Source organism: Homo sapiens, chromosome 18, assembly GCF_000001405.40.
Source record: "Homo sapiens chromosome 18, GRCh38.p14 Primary Assembly".
NCBI lineage: Eukaryota > Metazoa > Chordata > Mammalia > Primates > Hominidae > Homo > Homo sapiens.
The window spans coordinates 26,682,679-26,703,925 of record NC_000018.10 but is presented as its reverse complement, the minus strand read 5'-3'; the positions used below and the strand labels follow the sequence as shown (position 1 = coordinate 26,703,925).

Genomic DNA, 21,247 nt, shown 5'->3' with positions numbered 1-21,247 from the left:
TGGTGACTCAGCACCTCCCTTTCTGCTAAATGGTGAAAGGGTCTACCCAGGGGTGGTGGCCAACTTTTTCCAGAGACACCTGTGCTGGGTGGTTAAGTCAGCCAGATCCTGAGTTTGTGGATTTGCAAGCTCACCTGGCCCCAGAACAAATAAAGCCATGCTCTTTTCAGACCAGCTTTATCTGTGTGGCCACGCCTCCTCCTTCGCAGGCAAGGAGGGCGGGGAGTCCTCTAACTCCACCCTAAGAAGCAGAGTGGCCAGGAACATGTATACACCTCTGAAGAGTTCTTTTTCTTCGTAACTTCATGGCAACATGACCTACAGTTACTCATTTTTCAGGCCTGAGTTGATCGTTAATCATCTTAATTATGTTCATTCTGAAGCCAACAGGAGAACCAAGACCAAAACTTTATTGTCTCTGCTTTCATTTCTTGATGAAACCTCTGGACTAAGCACACATCTTCCTTGTTTATCTCTCTCAAAGGAGTGTGGAGTGCTTCATCTGGACATCCACGGGAAGAAGGAAGACATGAGGTAGGTGGTGTCCTTGTGTTCAAGTCAATAAGGAAGAAAATGTTGTGAACAAACAGTGCTATGAAGTAAAGGAAGGAAACTCCCTGGCAGGCATGCAGCCATACCTCTCTCAGGACACTTGCACTTGGGAGTAGACACAGGCTGTTGGTTCAGAGAGGAAGAGTTGATCTTTTTACAGTTAACATGTCCCTGAAATGAATCCATCTTCTCTAAGGATCGCCATTCCTGCCATGGTTTTGGAATTCGTAAGCTCTTCCTTAGGCAGATGTTCTCAAACTCTAGTCTCAGAGCCTCTTCACTCAGCGATTATCGAGAACCCCAAACAGCTTTTATTTATGTAGATTATTAGTGATGATATTAGAAATTAAAATGGTTCACACCTGTAATTCCAGCACTTTGGGAAGCCGAGGCAGGCGGATAACTTGAGGTCAGGAGTTTGAGATCAGCCTGGCCAACATGGTGAAACCCTGTCTCTACTAAAAATACAAAAATTAGCCAAGCATGGTGGCTGGCGGCTGTAATCCCACTTTCTCAGGAGGCTGAGACAGGAGAATTGCTTGAACCCGGAAGGAAGAAGTTGCAGTGAGCTGAGATTGTGCCACTGCACTGCAGCCTGGGCTTGACAGAGCAAGACTCTGTCAAGAAAGAAAGAAAGAGAGAAAGAGAGAGAGAGGGAGGAAGGGAGGGAGGAAGGAAGGAAAGAAGGAAGGAAGGAAAGAAGGAAGGAAGGAAGGAAGGAAAGGGAGAGAGAGAAAGAAATTAAAAGTAAGAAAACTTTAAATATTCATGTAGACATTTATTTTAAAAGAACTATAAACCCATTACATGCTAAGGTACATAACACATAGACAGCATTTTTATTCCATTTAAAAACTATATTTTCCAAAATTAAAAATTTATGAGAAGAGTAACATTACTTTGCATTTTTGCAAGTCTCTTTAACACCTATGTTAAGAAAAGGCAGCTAGGTTCTCATATCCACTTCTGCATTCGCTTTGTTGCAATATGTTGTTTTAGTGGTGTAGCTAAAGAAAATTCAGCTTCACATGACTACGCAGTTGGAAAAGGGATGACCTCACACATACCCTAAGAGGGTCCCTAAGTGAACTGTGGCACTAGTGAGCTCCGGAAGTCATAAGGGACCTCCAGAGCACCCCCCTCCACCCCCCAAAGCACACTTGAGAACTGTGGCACTAGCAGACTCCGGAAGTCATAAAGGAGAGTGACTGGGGCTGCGTTCTCTCTCCCACCATCTCTCCTCCGAGCACTGTGCTCTTAGATCTCCAGCCTACTCTGCTCTGCCCTCTTCCTTCTCAATGTAAGTAGTGAGGAAAGGTCACATCTGAAAGTGTCTTCTGCTGGGGAGGCCTCCCCTACCCATGCACTGCTGGACTGCCAAGCAGAGCAAGGGTGAAACCAAACTACTACTTTTCCTGGAATATTCTGTGCTATGAATATCCGCTGAGAACCAAGGGCAATAGCAGGCAGCTTATTGCATATTCAACCATCTAGACATTGGTTATGGCTTTTTCCCATAAAAAATATCCTAACCTCTTCTCCTCGCCTGCTTTTCCTTTCTTAGAATCACCCAACAGTCTTCCCAGCTATACCTGTGGGACATGGGTGGTTTTACAATATTTAAGAACCTGTGGATGAGCCTCATACCCAGAGGGAACAAACGCTCCCCAAAAAGAGTTACAGAAACCATCCTGAGAGATTTTAAGCAGAAGCAAAGTTCAAAGATCCAAGAGGAGAGACGAAGAGAGTGTATGTGTATGTTCAAAGATCCAAGAGGAGAGATGAAGTGTGTGTGTGTGTGTGTGTGTGTGTGTGTGTGTGTGTTTCATATGTTCCATTATCACTTCAAAGGAATTATTTTACAAAGAAAATATTTTGGACCTAGAGTGGAAATTAAAATTCCACTTAAGGATGATAACATCCACATTAGGGACCATTCCATCTTATAGATAAGCAATTTACATTGTATATAAGCAACCTTGCTAATCTTATATCATAAGAAAAAAACTGTAAACATATATTGAACTTTAGTTATATATGTGCATTATGAAGTATTTAGGGTTAAGTGTGTTGATGTCTGCAATTTACTTTGAAATGCATCAAAAATATAGACTCATAGATGGTAGAGAGATGAATAGGTAAATTGGCCAATGGGCCACCAAATCATTTTACTTTTTCATCAGCATCTGTAAAAGTAGTGTTGACGTCTATTTCTGTTGGAGGGGATCACTAATTTCCATAACCTGAGAATCCTTGACTTTCCACTTTTACTGAATATTTAGATTAATAAATGATGCCGGTCCAAATATCCCAAGCAAGACAATGAGCCCGTGCCTCCAATTCCAGAACAATGAATGGCATCTGCTGTTCCCTATTTATAGTAAGATTGCTGAGCTATCAGAAATGAATGTGCATCAACTCAGCAGTGGTTTTCATGTTTGTATGAGTGGCCTCAGCCACTACCCATCATCAGGTTCTGAAGTGTATGTGCTCACACAGCCCTCCATCCACTCATCCTTGATCTCTCCAGAGAAGAGGAAGAAGCAGCTTTTCTCCTCCTGCACCCATTTATCCCAACCCTGCTAGTGTGCCTCTCATTCATTCTTTTCCCTTTCCTTAGAGCCCTGAAGATTTAGTCTTGTAAAGAATTGTACCCTGCCCAGTCTCTGCCCTGCATAGAGCTATGAAACTTTCAGTACATTATAAAGAGGCTAGGCACAGAGGCTTAGGCTAATTCTCAGTCACCTTTCATGCTGCTAAGTGTGAACAAGCACTTTTTATCAGCTCTCCCCTCCCCAGCTTTAGAGAATATTATCAACCCCAAAGAGCCTCAGGGCTCTGTCTCTCTCTCTGTCTCTCTCTCTCTCTCACTCTTGCTCTTATTTTCTAGCTGCAGGACCAAACCTCTCTTCATTCTGGTTTGTGGGTAAGAGACTTGCATTACACATTCTTGGGTGTAGACATGAGTGTACAAGCATTTCACTTCCTTTTTGTTTTATATCCTATCCTCATGCCTCTGTACCCCAGAGTCCCTGTTCTCCTGGGATGTCCTTGGTAGCTGACCCCAAACTATACAGGAAAGGAGAACAGTGCTCCTGCAGCCCTGCACCACCCCCACCTGAAATCTCATTAGAAGGGCATTCAAAGAAGAACATTAACTGACAAGGCTCTTTGAAGAATTTTTTCCATTCCCGTAAGAGTATCTTCCCAAAGGGAGATTCAGATCACTGCTTTGGTTTGTTTAGTGCTTTAACTTTAGTTTGCAGCTACTCCTTTGCAGGGAATCAATCAACAAATATTTAATCAGCACCTACTATGTATATATCACTCCCAGCCTCTCCAAGTGAGAAACAAGGGAAACTAAAGCATAATCTTTGCCCTCAAGGAGAACGTGACCTACTTAGGAAGACAAAGCTAACACAGAACAATTAAATGCTACACTGTGTGGATCTAAATAAGGGAGAGAGTTGTAGAAAACTATATCCTAGAAGAGATAGAATTTGTCTTAGGACTTGAAAGATGGATAGGATTTAAACGGGGAAAGGAGAGAGGTCCCTAAAAGCAAGAGGAGGTTGTTTAAGGAGGGGCTCTAAGGAGAATGCACCAATTCAGAAGAAGATAACACCCTGGGAAGTCTTGGGAAAGAGATTAATTAGAGACCAGAGTGTGGAAAGTCAGAGACTTCAGTAAATTTGAAAACAATCTTGACGCTTTCTGTACTTCATAATTTTAGAATTTTCCTCAGTGTTTTTTGGGGGCGGGGGGCAGGGGGACTTTGTGGTTGTTGTTGTTGTTTTGAGACAGGATCTTGCTCTGTCACCCAGGCTGGAGTTCAGTGGTGTGATCATAGCTCACTGCAGCTATGATCACTGCAGCCTTGACCTCTCTGGCTCAAGCTATCCTCCCCTGCTCAGCCTCCCAAGTAGCTGAGACTACAGGCATGTGCCACCATTCCCAGATAATTTAAATTTGTTTTTTTGTTTAGAGACGGGGTCTCACTATATTGTCCAGACTGATCTCAAACTCTTGGATTCAAGCAATCCTCCCACCTCGGCCTCCCAAAGTGCTGGGATTACAGGCATGGGCCACCACGCCCAGCCTTTCCTGAAAAACAGGGCACATTATCCTGAAGTTGTGATGGCCAAGATGTCTGGAATAATGTGATGTATTTGTTGCCTGAAATTCAGTCTCTAGCTATGAACATTGCCCTTTTTTCAAACAATTTTTAAAGCATTATTAAAACAGTCAAGCTACAAAGACATTAATTGCAATATTTCTTTAGGGCATTTGTGTTCACCCAGACTCCTCTGAGCCCTAGAATTCCAAAGGGGGAGCCTCAGGGGCAGCCTTGGGAGATAAGACAGAGATAAGTCAAGTGAGGGCCTGGGTGCCTTGAGGCAATGCTTCTTCTACGTACTTGCTATTGGTTTTCCATTTAGGATTTTCAAAAACATCAATAAATCCCTGGAGAAAGTTTTTTGTTACTAGTCATTCCACCATTTATAGGTCATCAAAAGCACTTATCTGTTTATTTGGGTTGAATCCTCCTTTTATTTTATTTTATTTTATTTATTTATTCTTTTTGAGGCAGGATCTTGCTTTGTCACCCAGGCTGTAGTGCAGTGGCTTGAACTCCTGGGTTCAAGCAATCCTCTCACATCAGCCTCCTGAGTAGCTGGGACTATAGATGCTCACCATCACGCTCAGCTAATGAATCCTCCTTTTAAAGAAACACACACACACACGCACACACACCACTGCACCACTGTAATTACAATATGATTGATAGATTCACTCACTCATTCCCTTATTTCTCATAAACTTGTTGAGGGCTATGTACCTAGCACCTACTAGTCAACATCACATGATTGATAGAGTTTGGCCTTGAACACCAGCATAAGAAAATAGATGTGAGGAGGCTGGTTAATGACAATGACGACAACAACAGTGATAATGACGATGATGCCAGTGCTGAGCCCTTACTGTATGCCAAGCACTGTGCACCAAATACACTTATTAATTTAACTTTTGACACATTCTTATGAGTTATTATTAAGCCGAGACTGACTGAGGTTTAACATATTTGCCCACAGTCATGCAGCTAGGAAGAGGTGGAAACTAGCGTCAAAGGTCATGCTCTCAGCCACAAGGATTAACTGACCTGGCTTTATAATGAAGACATGCTACCAGAAACATTCATTTGTTCTTTAAATATTATTTTACACAAGCGGATATTTTCTGAATATTTTCTTCACTTGATCTTAACCAAAAGGCCGAGAAGCGATTTTTCTGAATATTTTCTTTATAAAATCTCTCACACTTACAGGTTAAATAACTATCCCCTAGACCCCTAATCAGGGAAGGACCCTTCCACCATACTTTTCCTTGCTTTGCCAGCTGATCCTTCCCTCCTGCTCAGAATCCACAGTCAGCCAAATGCAGGGCAACAAATTAAAATGAGAAAATGGACACAAGACCTGAAGACCACTTTTAGAGAAAATAGGAGCTACCAAGCTCTAATGCGGTATATTTTTCAAAACATGCAACTGAGGTAGGACACCAGCGGGACTCATTTCCAGGTTCCAAGGGAATAAAGCGAAGAAAACTGCAGGACCCAGCAGATGGTGAGGAAAGCTAGCTGCCCTCATTGCCTGTTAGCATAAGACTCTCCCACCAGTGCTATGATGGTTTACAAATGCCATGGCAACGACCTGAAAGTTACCACCCCTTTCCATGGCAATGACCTGAAAATTACTGCCCCTTTCCCAGAAAGTTCTAAATAACCCATCCCCTCAAATTGCATTGACCCACCCCCTAATTTGCATGTAATTGAAAGTGGGTAGAAATACAGTTGCCAACAGCCCCTACATTGCAGGTTGTAGGCCTGCTGCCTAGGAGTTAGCCCTGTTCCACAAGGAGCACTACTGTTCAATAAAAGATTGCTGTTTAACACCGCCAGCTTGCCATTGAATTCTTTCCTGGACAAAGCCAAGAATTCTCCAGGATAAGCCCTTAAATTTGGGCGCTTGCCTGCCCTGCATCACAACCATTAAGGGGAGACACACCCTATTAAATTGTTATTCCAGAACTCAGAAATATAAGAACACTATGTGCTAACAGGATTTGGGTACTTGCTGGTTTCACACTGCAATTTTAAAAAGGGGGAGGGGGTCAATTGCTTTTGGAAAAGGGGGTCTCCCCCAATATTATCCAGTTGCACAGTAAGTTACTATTACTCTTATGGTCACTAGGAACAAACACAGGCATACTTTGCAGAAATCAGCAAAATTAACCAGGCCCTAAGCAACTTCTTATTTGTTGGGTTCAGCAATGGATCATCAAGAGAGGCAGGAAGAAAAGTGAAACTAGAGGGTACCACCAAGATGTTTCCTGGCTAGAGTTATTTCAGAACACTATCATTTCCACCAGAGAGCTTTAAAACATTTGCGTTTCTCCTATGAATCAGGCTGTATGGCAACAAAACAGATAAACAGAAAAAGTACATTATTAGCATAAAACAGTATTAGCATAAATAGAAAGGGAATCAGGATATTCGGAGGGGTGGGAGAAAACAGCTTGTATAATATGTGGCCTACTCATTTCAGTCGACTTCACTGTAGCTGATAAACTGTGAAATTTCCATAATAATATAGAGTACAGAAAGCAAACAACAATTTTATTTGATAGGGAAATTGCATCCTGATACTGGATATAAAATTCTACAGCATGTTCAATGATATTTTCAAAGCATTGAAAATATAGACATATGCTTTCATTTTACAATGCAGTTGTAATGTAAATAATAAATCCACCACAATTTGGCCGGTCCAGAGACTGCTGGCATCATTAACTCAGAAACTCAGAGATACAAACGCTCTACTTATCTTGCCGGGCCCTCAGCCAGAAGTCTCCTATAACTCTGCGGATGTTTATACATGCCCTCTGCTTCGTCTACATTTCTGCCTTGCTTAAGGGTCTTCCGGGGTTCCCTATTGCTGTTTGTATCACATTTTAACCAGCCATTGCTCTTTGATGCCCTTCTTTCTCCCTGCCTGTATCCTCTTTTTATTTCTTCCTATTTCTCCACACATTTTTTCAACAACAAATCAAGACCATCTTCCCTCAGCTTCCCAATACTGTTCATGACAGTAGATTGATTGAAAAATGGCCACGCCCCTCCCTTTTTTGTATCTATGCCCTTTGAAATGTGACTGCAGCTCCTCTCATCAAAAAGGCTGGTCTTACCGTTTTTTGGAAACTATAGTAGCATGCAGTGGAAGGAACAGAAGATGAGATCAAAACCAATCCTTAGAATACATTCCTTGTATGTGTTCTCTTTCTTTCTCTTTTTTCTTTCTTTTTTTCTTTCTTTCTTTCTTTTTCTTCTTTCTTTTTTCTTCTTTCTTTCTTTCTTTTTCCTTCTTCTTTCTTTCTTTTTCTTTCTTCTTTCTTTCTTTTTTTGAGACAGGGTCTTGCTGTATTGCCCAGGATGGAGTGCAGTGACGTGATCTTGGCTTACTGCAAACTCTGCCTCCCAGGCTCAAGCCTCCTGCCTCAGCCTCCTGACTAGCTGGGACTACAGGCCCGTGACACCATGACCAGTTAATTCTTGTAATTTTTGTAGAGACAAGATTTCACCATGTTGCCCAGGCTGGTTTCAAACTCCTGGGCTCAAGCAATCTACCTGCCTCAGCTGTCCAATGTGCTGGGATTACAGGTGTGAGCCACCACATGCAAACCCACTTTCTCTTAAAATTCTGCTACTACTATGGGAATAAGTGCATGTTAGCCTTCTAGAGGATGAGGGACCATGTGGAGGAAAGTCCAGGTATTTCAACCAACAGCCGTCAACTCCCAGAAGACCCACATAGTCACCCCAGGGTTGCAAAAGACACGTGAAAAAGATGAGATCAAAACTGCCCAGCTGAGCTCAGCCCAAATTGTCAACCTCCAGAATCACATGCTATTGTTTTAAGCCACTAAGCTTTATTTAGGGTAGTTTATTAACAGCAAGAGAAAACTGATACATCTATGTTGTCTTGTTTTCATCTTCCTTCCCTGCATTCATCACACCTGACAAAACACTTATTTCTTCTAGGAATTTCAACATATCTTGGAAAATGACATTCACCAATCAAACAAATCAGAACTATCAATAACTCCCATATATGAATGTGTGGGTAGATGGGTAGTCACAAAGCTAAAGGATATGAACGTTATTCCCAGTTTCTAGCAACACCACTCCCATGATCATTTTTAGTTTTTTATTTTCTGCCTCCATATCTTTAACATGGGAATGAACATTTGAATTTACCTACTGTTGAGAAATTACTAATAATTACTTCAAAATTTTTCGTAGATTGCCTAACATCCACTAATTTTTCTAATTTTAAAGCTGAAAAATACTTGCTTTCCTTCAAAGTCACCTAGCAATGTGAAGTACCTCCGTGAAACAAATAGAATTGAATCCAGTGATTCCTATGTAGTTTATTAACTTCAGCCCTGACTAATTATTTTCCGCCCTATAGCATCTGTACCATAGCTATTGTGAAGCAAAGGCTTTCAGTGTCTATACCTCTATGAACAACATTTATCCAAACTACAATATACATAGCACCTTGCTTCTCATTTCTCTTCTAAAACACCTCAAAATCTTATCTTTGAAAGTATAATTTAATTGATTTTTAACCAAAAATTAAATCTGTGTATAAAACTCATACTTTCATCAAGAACATAACTGGAAGGAGGCATCAAACTTCCTGATTTCAAAATATATAAAAAGCTAGGTGTGGTGGCTCATGCCTGTAATCCCAGCACACTGGGAGACTGAGGCAGGAGGATTGCTTGAGACCAGGAGTTTGAGACCATCCTGGCCAATATAGTGAGACCCTGCCTCTATAAAACTCAAAATAAAATAAAAATATGTTATTAAGCTACAGTAATCAAAACAGTATGGTACTGGCTTAAAAACAGACATATAGACTAACAGATGGTCAAATAATCTTTGACAAGGGTGCCAAGAATACACAATGGGGAAAGGACAGTCTCTTCAATAAACGGTACTGGAAAAACTGTATATCTCCATGCAAATTGGACAATTGGACCTTTATCTTAAACCATACCAAAAACTCAACTCAAAATGGATTGAAGATTTAAACATAAGACCTGAAACTGTAAAACTCCTAGAAGACTACATAGGAAAATAACTTCCTGACATTGGCCTTGGCAGTGATTTTTTTAAATATAAAACCAAAATTCAGGCAAAAAAGCAAAAGTAGGCAGATGAAATTACATCAAAATAAAAAGATTCTGCGCAGCAAAGAGAACAATCAACAAAATGCAAAGGCAGCATAAGGAATGGGAGAAAGTATTTGCAAATGATATATCTGATCAAGGGTTGACACATCCAATATATATAAATAATTTCTACAACTCAATAGCAAAAAGCAAGTAACTCGATTAAAAAATGGGTAAAGGACCTGAACAGTTTTCAAAGAAGACATACACATGGCCAACAGGTATACAAAAAGGTGCTCAACATCACTAATCACCAGGGAAATGGAAATAAAAACCACAGTGAGATATCACCTCACATCTGTTAGTATGACTATTATAAAACAAACAAACAAATAATAAAACAAATAAACAAATCAAAACCACAATGAGATATCACCTCACATCTGTTAGTATGACTATTATAAAACAAACAAATAAATAAACAAACAAACAAATGAAAGATAAGTTGTTATTGAGCATGTGGAGGAAAGGGAACCATTGTACATTGTTGGTAAGAATGTAAATTCGTAAGTCACTATGGAAAACAGCATAGAGGTTCCTCAAAAAATTAAAAATGATGGCCAGGTGCAGTGGCTCACACCTGTAACCCCAGCACTTTGGGAGGCCAAAGTGGGCGGATCACATGATATCATGAGCTCGAGACCAGCCTGGCCAATATAGTGAAACCCTGTCCCTACTAAAAGTACAAAAATCAGCCAGGCGTGTTGTTGCATGCCTGGATTCCCAGCTACTCGGGAGGCTGAGGCAGGAGAATCACTTGAACCCAGGAGGCGGAGGTTGCAGTGAGCCGAGATCATGCCACTGCACTCCAGCCTGGGTGACAGAGCAAAACTCCGTCTCAAAAATAAATAAATAAATAAATAAATAAATAAATAAATAAATAAACAAACCATAAACCCACCAATCCCACTTCTAGGTAGATATCAAAAAAAAAATGGAAATCAGGATCTCAAAGAGATACCTTCATTCCCATGTTCATTGCAGCATTATTCACAATAGCCAAGATATGGAAATAAGCTATATATCCATCATCAGATGAATGAATAAAGAAAATGTGGTACATACCTACACTGGAATACTATTCAGACTTAAAGAAAGAAAAGAAAACCTTGCCAATTGCAACAACATGGATGAACCTGGAGGACATTATGCTAAATGAAATAAACCGGACACAGAAGGACAAATACTACATGATATCACTTACTTGAGGAATGTAAAATAATCAAATTCATAAAAGCAGAGAGTAAAATAGTGGTTGCCAGGCACCAGGGGGAGAAAAAAAATGCAGTTATTAGTCAAAGGGTACAAAATTTTATAAAAGAAATATTTGTTAAGGAAAGAAAAAATAAATTTGTACTTTTATCATTGACAAATCCCATTGGCCTAGCACAGCACCCAGCAGATAGGAAGAATTGGGTCACTTTGGTTTGCACTGAATCTAACTTGGACATTGCTGCAATTGCTTATATAATATATATTGAAAGAATATATCAACATCATATGGACTTTACATACATTAGCTGTACTCATTTTCAGTTTCATGGATAGTCAAAGAAAGATTGAGAAAATAATTTCTTGTAAAACATGTTCTTGGAACTGCCTTAATTAGGATTAAGCTTGATGCTAACAAAAACTCAAAATAACAGTGACTTAAATAGGACAGAGGTTTATTTCTTTCTCAAGTAAGAATTCAAATGTTGGCAAACCAGAGCTGTAAGATAGCTTGTTCCCTGAAGTTCCTACGGATCCAGAATCTTTTTAGCTCATGGCTCTGCCATTTCTGAAGTAGAAATCTGGCCTCATGATACAAGATGATAGTTAGAATTCCAGCCATCATACCCACATTTTAGGCAGCACGATGAAGGAAAGGACAAAGAAAAAAGGACAAAGGGCACATCCTGGCTATCTTTTAAGGAAATTACCTGGAGAAGCTGCTTAAATCCCATTGGCCAGAGATTAGTCAGATGGCCATGCTGAGTCACAAAAGAGTCTGATGAAGTCTTTTTAAAAAATTGATTATATGCCCAGCTATAATCAGGACTTTAAGACGGAAAGAACAACTATCACAGTATGTAACCAGCAATCCCTGCAGAAATGTGCTCTATGTTGGGGAGATTGTCTTTACATTCTCTCAGAGCATAAAATTGCCCATGACTTGCCAGTTTTCCATTTTGTCCTTGGTTTGCAAAACAGCCACCTAACAGACAAGCTCTATCTATAGTTTGTTATGGCATTGAGTGGGGAGAAAGAGATCTTTTTCCAGTTAGGACTCTTGTATTAGTCTGTTCTCATGCTGCTATGAAGAAATACCCAAGACTGGCTAATTTATAAAGAAAAGAGGTTTAATTGACTCACAGTTCCACAGGGCTGGGGAGGCCTCAGGAAATTTACAATCATGGTGGAAGGCACCTCTTCACACAGCGGCAGGAGAGAGAAGGAGTGCAAGCAGGGGAAATGCCAGATGCTTATAAAACCATAAGATCTCATGAGAACTCGTTATCACAAGAACAGAATGGGAGAAACCACCCTCATGATTCAATTACCTCCCACCAGGTCCCTCCCATGACATGTGAGGATTATGGGAACTAGAATTCAAGATAAGACTTGGGTGGGGACACAGCCAAACCAAATCAACTCTCTTCTGTTGAAAATGAAAAAAAAAAAACAAAAAAACAAAAAACACTCCACCAAAACTAGCTCAAGGCAGAAGAAAGTTTATTGGCTCACATAGGTAAAAATTCCAGGATGGGACTTTCTTCAATAACAGTTTCATTTAGGCTCCAAAAATGTCATCAAGACCCATTTTCTGTCCACCTCTCAGTGGGCTCTGTGTTCATCCACTCATTGGCCTTATTCTTCACTTACCTGTGGTGGCAAGGTGGCAACAGTAGCACCAGCTCACCTACTTCCAGGTTCAAGTCCCTTGGGAAAGAACAACAGTCTCCTTATGCCTCGTTCTGACTGGGTCACATGGAGGATGAATGAACTAAATCCTCTAACAAAAGAGAATGTTAAGAATGGATGTGATGCTTTTTAAACTATGTGGCCTGAGAGTGGGAGAGAGTGGTTCCCCAGATGGAATTTGAGGTGTCATTTTACCTTAAAAATAGCGAATGGATACTGGGAAGACAAATGGTAAATCTCTCCAATGGAGACATATTTCACACAATGTGGGATTCAACTGGTATTCTCCATTACTCAAGATGTAACCACTTCCCAAAATATTCCCAGGACCATGGGGCTAAAAATAAAACCAATTTCATAGGCTTGATATGATAATTGAACGACAAAACATACTTGCAAATAGATAGCGTAACATCTCCAAGCAGGAAGAAAACTTATTAAGACACCATTCTGGGAGGGTTACTATTACCCTCTGCCAGATTAGGTCCCTAGAAAATTGTCATCTTCAGTATTGTTTCCAGCATTCAGTGGTGCCCAGTTGGGGAACTGGAGAATCCCTAAGCCAGGTCTTTCCTGCCTTTCCCTGTACACTATTCTCATTTCACCATCCAAAGTATGCTTGATGTGTGTCTTTTTTGTATCCTACTCTGTGACATATCTTTTATGAAAACTTTTATCAATACTAAAGAATCATGGCCAGGCGCAGTGGCTCATGCCTGTAATCCCAGCACTTTGGGAGGCCAAGGTGGATCATTTGAGGCCAGGAGTTCGAAACCAGCCTGGCCAACATGGTGAAACCCCATCTCTACTAAAAATACAAAAGACTAGCCAGGTGTGGTGGCGGGAACCTGTAATCCCAGCTACTCAGGAGGCTGAAGCAGGAGAATCACTTGAACTCAGGAGGCAGAGGTTGCAGTGAGCCAAAATCGCGCCACTGCACTCCAGCCTGGGTGACAGAGCAAGACTTTGTCTAAAACAAAACAAAACCCCCAAAAAACCACTACAGAGTCATTATTCTGTCTGTTGTCAGTATCCCAAAGTTCCCGTTTCACGTATAAAGTCTTCATCACATTAATTTCTAGGTAAATTTACCATCTCCCAACATGTAGTCTCTGTAAAAATACCAGCTATAGAAGTTATCTGAAAGCAGCTGACTTCTATGATTTCTGCCTATACTTTCTTTCTCTGTCTCCTCCCTCAGGGAATGCTGGAAGAGGAGACAGGCCCCAGATTTGGGCAGGAAGTAAACAGTTTTCAGGCTGAGGCCAATCTGAGCAGGAACATTCCAATATTTCTTCAGCTACGTTGTCCCAGCACTTCACTGGTTAACCTTTTATGTCCACCATTTGTGGATTTCACAGCTACTTGTCAATGGTGAATATTGATCATCATCATTATCTACTGAGCTGCTACCATATCCCAGCTACTCCTTGCATGTTGTTCATTATTTTCTCAACACTCAGCATATTTGCAATATGTTATGTAATATCACAGACAAGGAAACTGAACGCAGAAATGTTTTATTTCTTGCCAAACATCACATGAGGATGAACAATGAAACCGATTTGAAACCAGGATTGTCTGATTCCAACATCTCTGGGTCCTTTTTCACTCTGATATGCTGCAATTAAAAAGCCATTTCTAAGACTGTACGTTCCAAGATTGTTTCTATAGTTGGTTGTGAGAGAAGTTTCTCTGAACTTGCAGAGCACGGGAAACCAGGAGGAGGAGGCTCAGGGTGCTCTCCACACGTGTGAAACCGGCTGTGGGTGTTGCTTTCCTGTGACTGCCATTTGCCACTGATGATCTTCTCTTCCTCTGGAAGAGTAAGAGGGGGAAGGACACAGTTTCAGTGCTTCCCATTTATAATTAATTAATTAATTAAGGGCAGGTGCAGGGGCTCACACTTGTAACCCCAGCACTTTAGGAGATTGAGCAAGGAGGATCCCCTGAGCCTGGGAGTTTGAGATCAGCCTGGGAAGCAGAGTGAGACCATGACTTAAATAAAAATTTTTTTGTGTTTTGTTCTAATTTTTACTTTTTTGAGACAGGGTCTCGCTCTGTTGCCCAGGCTGGAGTGCAGTAGCGTGATCTCAGCTCACTGCAACCTCTGCCTCTGGGTTCAAACAATTCTCATGCCTCAGCCTCCCAAGTAGCTGGGATTACAGGTGCCTGCCACCATGCCCAACTAATTTTTTTGTACTTTTAGTAGAGACGGGTTTTCACCATGTTGGTTGGCCAGGCTGGTCTCGAACTCCTGACCTCAAGTGATCCGCCCACCTCAGCCTCCCAAAGTGCTGGGATTACAGGCATGAGCCACCACGCCCGACCAAAAAAAAATTTTTTTTTTTCAATTAGCCAGACATTGTGGCATGTGCCTGTAGTCGCAGCTACCATGGGGGCTGAGGTGGGAGGATAGCTTGAGCCCAGGAGTTTGAAACCAGCCTGGGCAGCAAAGTGAGACCCTGCCTCAAAAATAAAAAATAAAAAAAAAGCTATTTCTTACAGATATTCATTGAGTGGAAAGCAATTTAATTTTACGTATAATAAGTTATTTCAAAAAGAATTGTAGTTATGTGTGGCAATTTTTCATAAATACCTGATACAAATCAAGATCTACCATGGTAAGTGTGCTCCAGAGATACCCTTCTTGACCAAAACAAAGCAGGGCAGGGATTGGGAGGCCTTTTGGGCTGGGCTCCAGGACACAATGACTAGAAGATGATGCAAAGTGCATGACAGAGTAGAGAGCTACACAGTTTACACATATTAGACTCTGCACATATTAGAGTCTACACATATTAGACTCTGCAAAAGTAGTTCTTAAATGTTAGCTCACATGCACCCCAGTCACGTTACTGAGCAGATTCCTGGGCTCCAGTCCTGGGTGATTCTTGCAGGTGGTCCATTGACCAGATTAGGAGAATCATCATCCAAGGTCTCAAAGCCAAATTTAGGACGCAGAGAGAAAGAATCCTAAGTGGTTGAATGGGAAACTGATTCTCCTCTTGAGCACACCTTAGATTCAAATAATTGATTGGAGAAGATCATTCCATACAAAAATCTTCTGACCTGCAGAGTTTCTACAAAAAGTCTTGAGAAAGAAAAAGAAAAACATATATTTTTGGAAAAGATTGAATTTAATTATAATTTTGCAAATTATACTGTGGGAAAGGTCAACAAAAACAAGCGTATTGCGGATGATCTTATAAAAAGAACCTTTTGTAAAGTAAACAATTACCTTCTGATTTGTCTACTCTGAACCCTTGATGTTTATTTAAATTGGATGTTCTCATAGCAGGACACACCTGATACCTGGCTTGTCTAAACACTTAGAAAGTCAAATTGTCTAGTTATCAAAGCCCAGGCTTATTTTCTAAATAAGTATGGATGGTCTTTCAGGAGTCATTTCACAGTGATGTGCAGAGAGAAAAACAATACAAACAAACAAACAAACAAACAAAAAACAAATCATTGTTCCTAAGTGTGTTTTCCAGCCTATGTCTAACTTTCTAGCAGATAATGGCAATAAAAATGTTTGGGTCCAACATTGCAATATAATTTGAAATTCCTTGCTTACTGAAATCCTAGCCAAAAGGCTTTCTTTAGTTTTGTATTAAATTATCCCATTTGGTTGGCTGCCTTAATCAACTTAACCGATTATTTACCAGATCACCATTTTCCTTTGTGCAGACACCCCATCAGAGCTCAGGTGAACAATTTCTTGGGCCAGAGTGCCTTTCTTTTTCCTCAACACCAAGACTGTCTCCTGCCACACCTTTAACAGTGCTCTCCATCTGTAACCTCAGGTTCATAATGCAGCTTTGTTATTTGGTTTGTCTAAAAGCAATTAGTAGTTTCAGATTTTAATTTCCTATTTAGGGGAGAGATGATTTGGGGGAGAGTTGGGGAGGTGACTGAACAAAGCCAGTTCAACAGTTAATGCTTTAACCTTGCGTATAATTTATACAATAAACAAAGTCACATGCTTCCCTAATAATTTAGATGTAAGCAAATGTTGATTTATTCAGGAAGGCTACTGCCAGAAGCAAAGCCTGCAGCACTAAAATTTGAATTAAACTAGGACAGAAGCAGGCTAGTCTATAATAACATTTGTATAATTTTATTTTTGCCCTTGGCTCAGTTCATTTCCTCGTACAGTAGATGCATGAAATTGGTTCTTCAGCCACCTTTAGCTGATGTTCATTGATATCCGGGCAGGCAGAGAAGCAAGAGAATGCACCTTTCTAAGCTTTGTGTTTTCAATCACAAGGCCTTGACTTCCTAGGTCATTTCTGACAATGATTATCTTTCTCTGAATTGTGTTTTCGGCAAATATCTCAGAAAAGCTTCATTTAACCTAGAGATACGGTTTCCCCCCTCTTACTGTGAGGGGACTCTTAGAACTGAGACAGTTAAATAGATGCAAATGTTGTGCTGTTTTTATTCCTTTATTCAAGCCCTGGGGCATGATCTGAGTTCTCTTACTCTGCTTTCAGCAGTGAAATAACGGCCTGAAAAATCCTTTAAATGATGGTGAAAAATAAACATTAACTTGAAACAGTGAGGAATCAACCCCCCTTTTACTATTAACCTTTGACTTAAGTAAAAACTAGGACCTACATTTTACAACTTACCACTTTTGTTAGGAACTGAGGCTCCTTTTGAGGGAGCAGGCTCAAGCTGGTAAATAATTTTGGAGAGCTTCTGAAAAGTAGATGAAGTTTTACATCCAAACATAGGGAAACTTGGTTTTTTCATAGCAGTTCCTGAAATAATGACATTGCCAACACACACAGCACACACATGGAAGCGTTCTCAACCCCCATAATCACCTGGAAATGTCTTACAATTTTTATTCTGCCTCCTCCATACTTCCATTTTAGGCAAAGTAACAGCACTTTAGAAGGTCAAAACTTCTGAAATGAATTTATTCCCTTAGTTCAGGAAATCAATTATGCTAAAAATTTTCCCTGACGTTTTATTTAAGGGGAGTTAAGAAAAAATAAAATCCTAAAAATTTAGAAATTAAAGAATTGGTATTTACACTTTATGTGCAATAATGCATTTATGCCTCACTTCTTCCAGCTGAGAAGGTAAATAGCAGCCCTAGTGTTTTGGAGGCAAACATTGTTCTGTCCTATTCTTGGTAACAAAATCTGCTCCCAGGCCTTCTCCATCCTTGTCTGATTGTGCCCTGGGGCTGTTGCAGGCAGCCAGAGGAGCCTTTCAGAAAATCCAGGCCATGTTTTGACTTCATTAGAGATTCCAAATAGAACAAGTTTTAGCCTGGCTCAGGCTTTGGTTATGAAAGTTTCCCACAGCTCTCAAAAATATACAGAATAATAAATGGCTGGGCAGAGAAATAGAAGGCAATAGTCATTCCATCAAAGGTTTCTAGTCACATCATAAACTACAATTGCAGAGCCTGAGGAGCTTATGTCACTAGGACCCAGAGATAAAATGTTTTGCCTTTGGCCCCCGAGGTCACGCGCTGGGGCAAGAGCTTTGAGGTTGGGTCCTTTGTTTGCAGACTGGCAGGGGAAGGGCACTTGATCCCTGCCTAGGAACAGAAAGAATGCCTCTCTCCCCCACCCTGTGGCCCCTTGGCCTTCCCTGGGGACAGGCTGTGTGGCTCTGCGGGCATTGTGAAACCTTCTCACCCCAAAGGGTGGCTATGAAGCTTCAAATGTTTTCGGGCATTTCCAGCATAAAAGCAAAAATTGATGAGTTTCAGTGGGATAAGCTCTGAGGCTCCAAGGAAAAACCCCTAAGGCGGTGGGTATGAGGAGGAAACTTTTTATTGTCTTGCTGCAGATTTTTTCTTTCATTTTCTTTTCTTTTTCTTTTATTAAGTCAAGATGTTATATGAATGCATCACTTAAATATTACGTGCAAACTTCTTAAGGAAACCATCTCCTCCCAAGTTTACAGATCAGTCTCCAGTTTGTCCATATTCCTGTTTGCCACCATTCTTCTCTCTCCCTTGTTCTGGGTTCTCCCTTTTCTTACCCCCAACTTTTTTGGGAGGAATCATAAAACCACACTTTAATGACAAACTCCAGAAAGCTAGACCTTATAAGGACCCTACATATTCACCAGCTTCCATGGAATGGCCTTCATTTTCCACACGCTTTTGTTTTAGAAAACATATGAACTACTAGAAGTCACTCAAACAAGGAAGGATTTACATTCATTTTTTCCCCAAATAGTCTTTTAATATACATGTTTCTTGCTAGAAGCAGATTTTGTTGATGCTTTAATTTTTTTTAAAGCCAGTAACTAACTATAGCCTGACAATTTCTATCCCATTACGTTGATATTAGATTGGTGGGCTGTGACTTTATGACATCAAAGAAATTGATTACAACTTTTTTTATATGTGGCTCACAATGCAGCCATTGCCGTGATCCAAACCTTATATGCTAACCTCGGAATCACGGAAGTGACGGGAGAAACACGCTGTGGTTAGTGATTAAAGACTGGACATAAAATTGTCTCCAAACCCATTTTTTAAAAGTCTTTGAACATGACCAAAATTGTATTAACGAGCTTTGGCTGGAAAGAACACTACAGTGTTCTCTATCTCCATTTCTCACATTTTAGTTAAACTTATAAACCCTTCCCCCAGATGGGCTTCCCCTGGTAACCATATTAAACAGAAACATTAGACAGAATCAGTAAGAAAATGTTCACATTTGTAATCCCAGCACTTTGAGAGGCCGAGGGGGGCAGATCACCTGAGGTCAGGAATTCTCAACTAGCCTGACCAACATGGAGAAACCCCATTTCTACTAAAAGAAAAAAAAAATACAAAATTAGCCAGGCATGGTGGTGCATGCCTGTAATCCCAGCTACTCAGGAGACTGAGGCAGGAGAATCACTTGAACCCGGGAGGCAGAGGTTACGGTGAGCTGAGATCGCACGATTGCACTCCAGCCTGGGCAACAAGAGCGAAACTCCGCCTAAAAAAAAAAAAAAGAAAGAAAAAAGAAAATATTCATTCCTTTTCTTAAATGCATAAACCACCCAGAAAATATATACCTTAAAAATAAAAAAGGGGCTTAGTAAATATTTTATATTTCACTCAACTGGAATTATAATAGAAAGGGAAACTGTTTTATTAGAAAATTTACCATTTGCAGGAAGGTGTATGTGCCTATGCACCTCAGTCTTTATTAAGGCAATGGAGGAAAAACAGCCAGGAACAAGGTGAAAAGAAGTTCATTCACTGTCTCAGAAAATAAAGACCTCAGACTTTCTAAATGAAAATATACCATTAGCATCAGATACTAATCACAAGGTAGTTATTTTTAAAGAGGTTCCTAAGTAAGACACACACACCCATGACACCCTGAGGCTAATCTATGCACCTAGAGACTTATTCTGCCCTTTGTTGTATGTGAGTTAGCTGTCCTTGGAGTGAATAAAAGCTGCTTTCCATGTTATTCTACCCTCCTGTAAAAAGAAAAAAAAAAGTCACTTCAGAAGATACGGATAAAAATGCATCTGATTAAAAAACATTCCTCAAGGGCAATTTGGATAAAAAGTTAAGCTGGGCAACATCAAACTAGGCCCCTTCCTATAAAATACATCAAATTCAAAGAAGTTTCTTGTTTTTGTTTTCTTTTAAGTTACTAATCTTTTTAATGAATCTCAGACTCCATCAGCCAAACTGCTTTTTTAAGAACAGTTTTTACCTACGTAAAGGCAAGGATCGGTTTAACAGAAAGCACCCAAAATATTAATCACATGGTAAAATATCTTTCTATTTTTTGTTTAAGAAAAAAACTCTGTTCAAGGAATTTCAAGTGAACAGAATTGTCCACACTGGAAAGGACAGTCCTCGTCAATCCAGGTGACTTACTGTGGGCTTATGATCCCTGAAAGTGGCCCCCACTACCCCCCCATACCCTTGCTGGCATGAATTATAACACCAGGTCACCTCCTCAAGAAATCCCCATTGATAAGCCTCCAACAGTGTAAAATATCAGCTGTCGTGGAAATTTTTTTCAAGTATAAAGATAGTTCCTGCCCTCATTAGGCTACATTTTATTAGACTCCATGTATATCCATATCTTATACCAAGCCTATGAGCTATCCAATGTTCTATAACTCCCTTTGGAGCTATATGCCAGTCAGCACTCTTCATTCATTCATTCATTCATTCATTCATGTAACCTCCCTTATTGAAGACCTCACAATGTGCCAGCACTGCTTCCAAGAGCTGGGAAATCAGACATGAAGGAGACAGGTAACATCCTGCTCTCAAAGAGTTTATTTTCTCCTAGGCAGAGGCATTCAATAAACCAGCAAACAAATGAAGAAAATCATTTCAGACAGTGATCAGTGAAATAAAAATAAAGGAACGTGGTCAGATAGGGTGGGCTAACGTGGACGGAAAGGCTTCACTGGGTAGGTGGAGATGTTGAGCTAAAATCTGAATGTCAAGAAAGAGCCAGTTGTTGAGAAGCTAGGAAAATGAATTCTGCTT

The 21,247-nt window shown here is 40.4% G+C and overlaps 2 long non-coding RNA genes across 2 annotated transcripts in view, besides 1 other annotated feature; one reads left to right on the top strand and one right to left on the bottom strand.

The window, feature by feature from the left end:
* The first annotated feature begins 287 nt into the window (after window positions 1-287).
* Window positions 288-16,305, top strand: PCAT18 (prostate cancer associated transcript 18). Its single transcript, NR_024259.1, has 2 exons — window positions 288-534; window positions 13,955-16,305. It is a non-coding gene; the product is annotated as a prostate cancer associated transcript 18 (long non-coding RNA).
* Window positions 3,435-3,544: an enhancer, noted in NCBI's record as "active region_13191". NCBI's record gives its function as "activates an Ori minimal core promoter by ATAC-STARR-seq in GM12878 lymphoblastoid cells {active_cell/tissue: GM12878}" and the evidence as "EXISTENCE:reporter gene assay evidence [ECO:0000049][PMID:35858748]".
* The window catches only part of LOC102725227 (uncharacterized), a 33,938-nt gene continuing 26,948 nt past the window's right edge, over window positions 14,258-21,247 (bottom strand). Inside the window, exons 2-3 of the long non-coding RNA XR_935311.4 lie at window positions 15,593-15,847; window positions 14,258-14,571 (exon numbers count right to left, since the gene is read on the bottom strand). This is a non-coding gene — a long non-coding RNA (uncharacterized LOC102725227). The remainder of the gene's footprint in view (window positions 14,572-15,592; window positions 15,848-21,247) is intronic.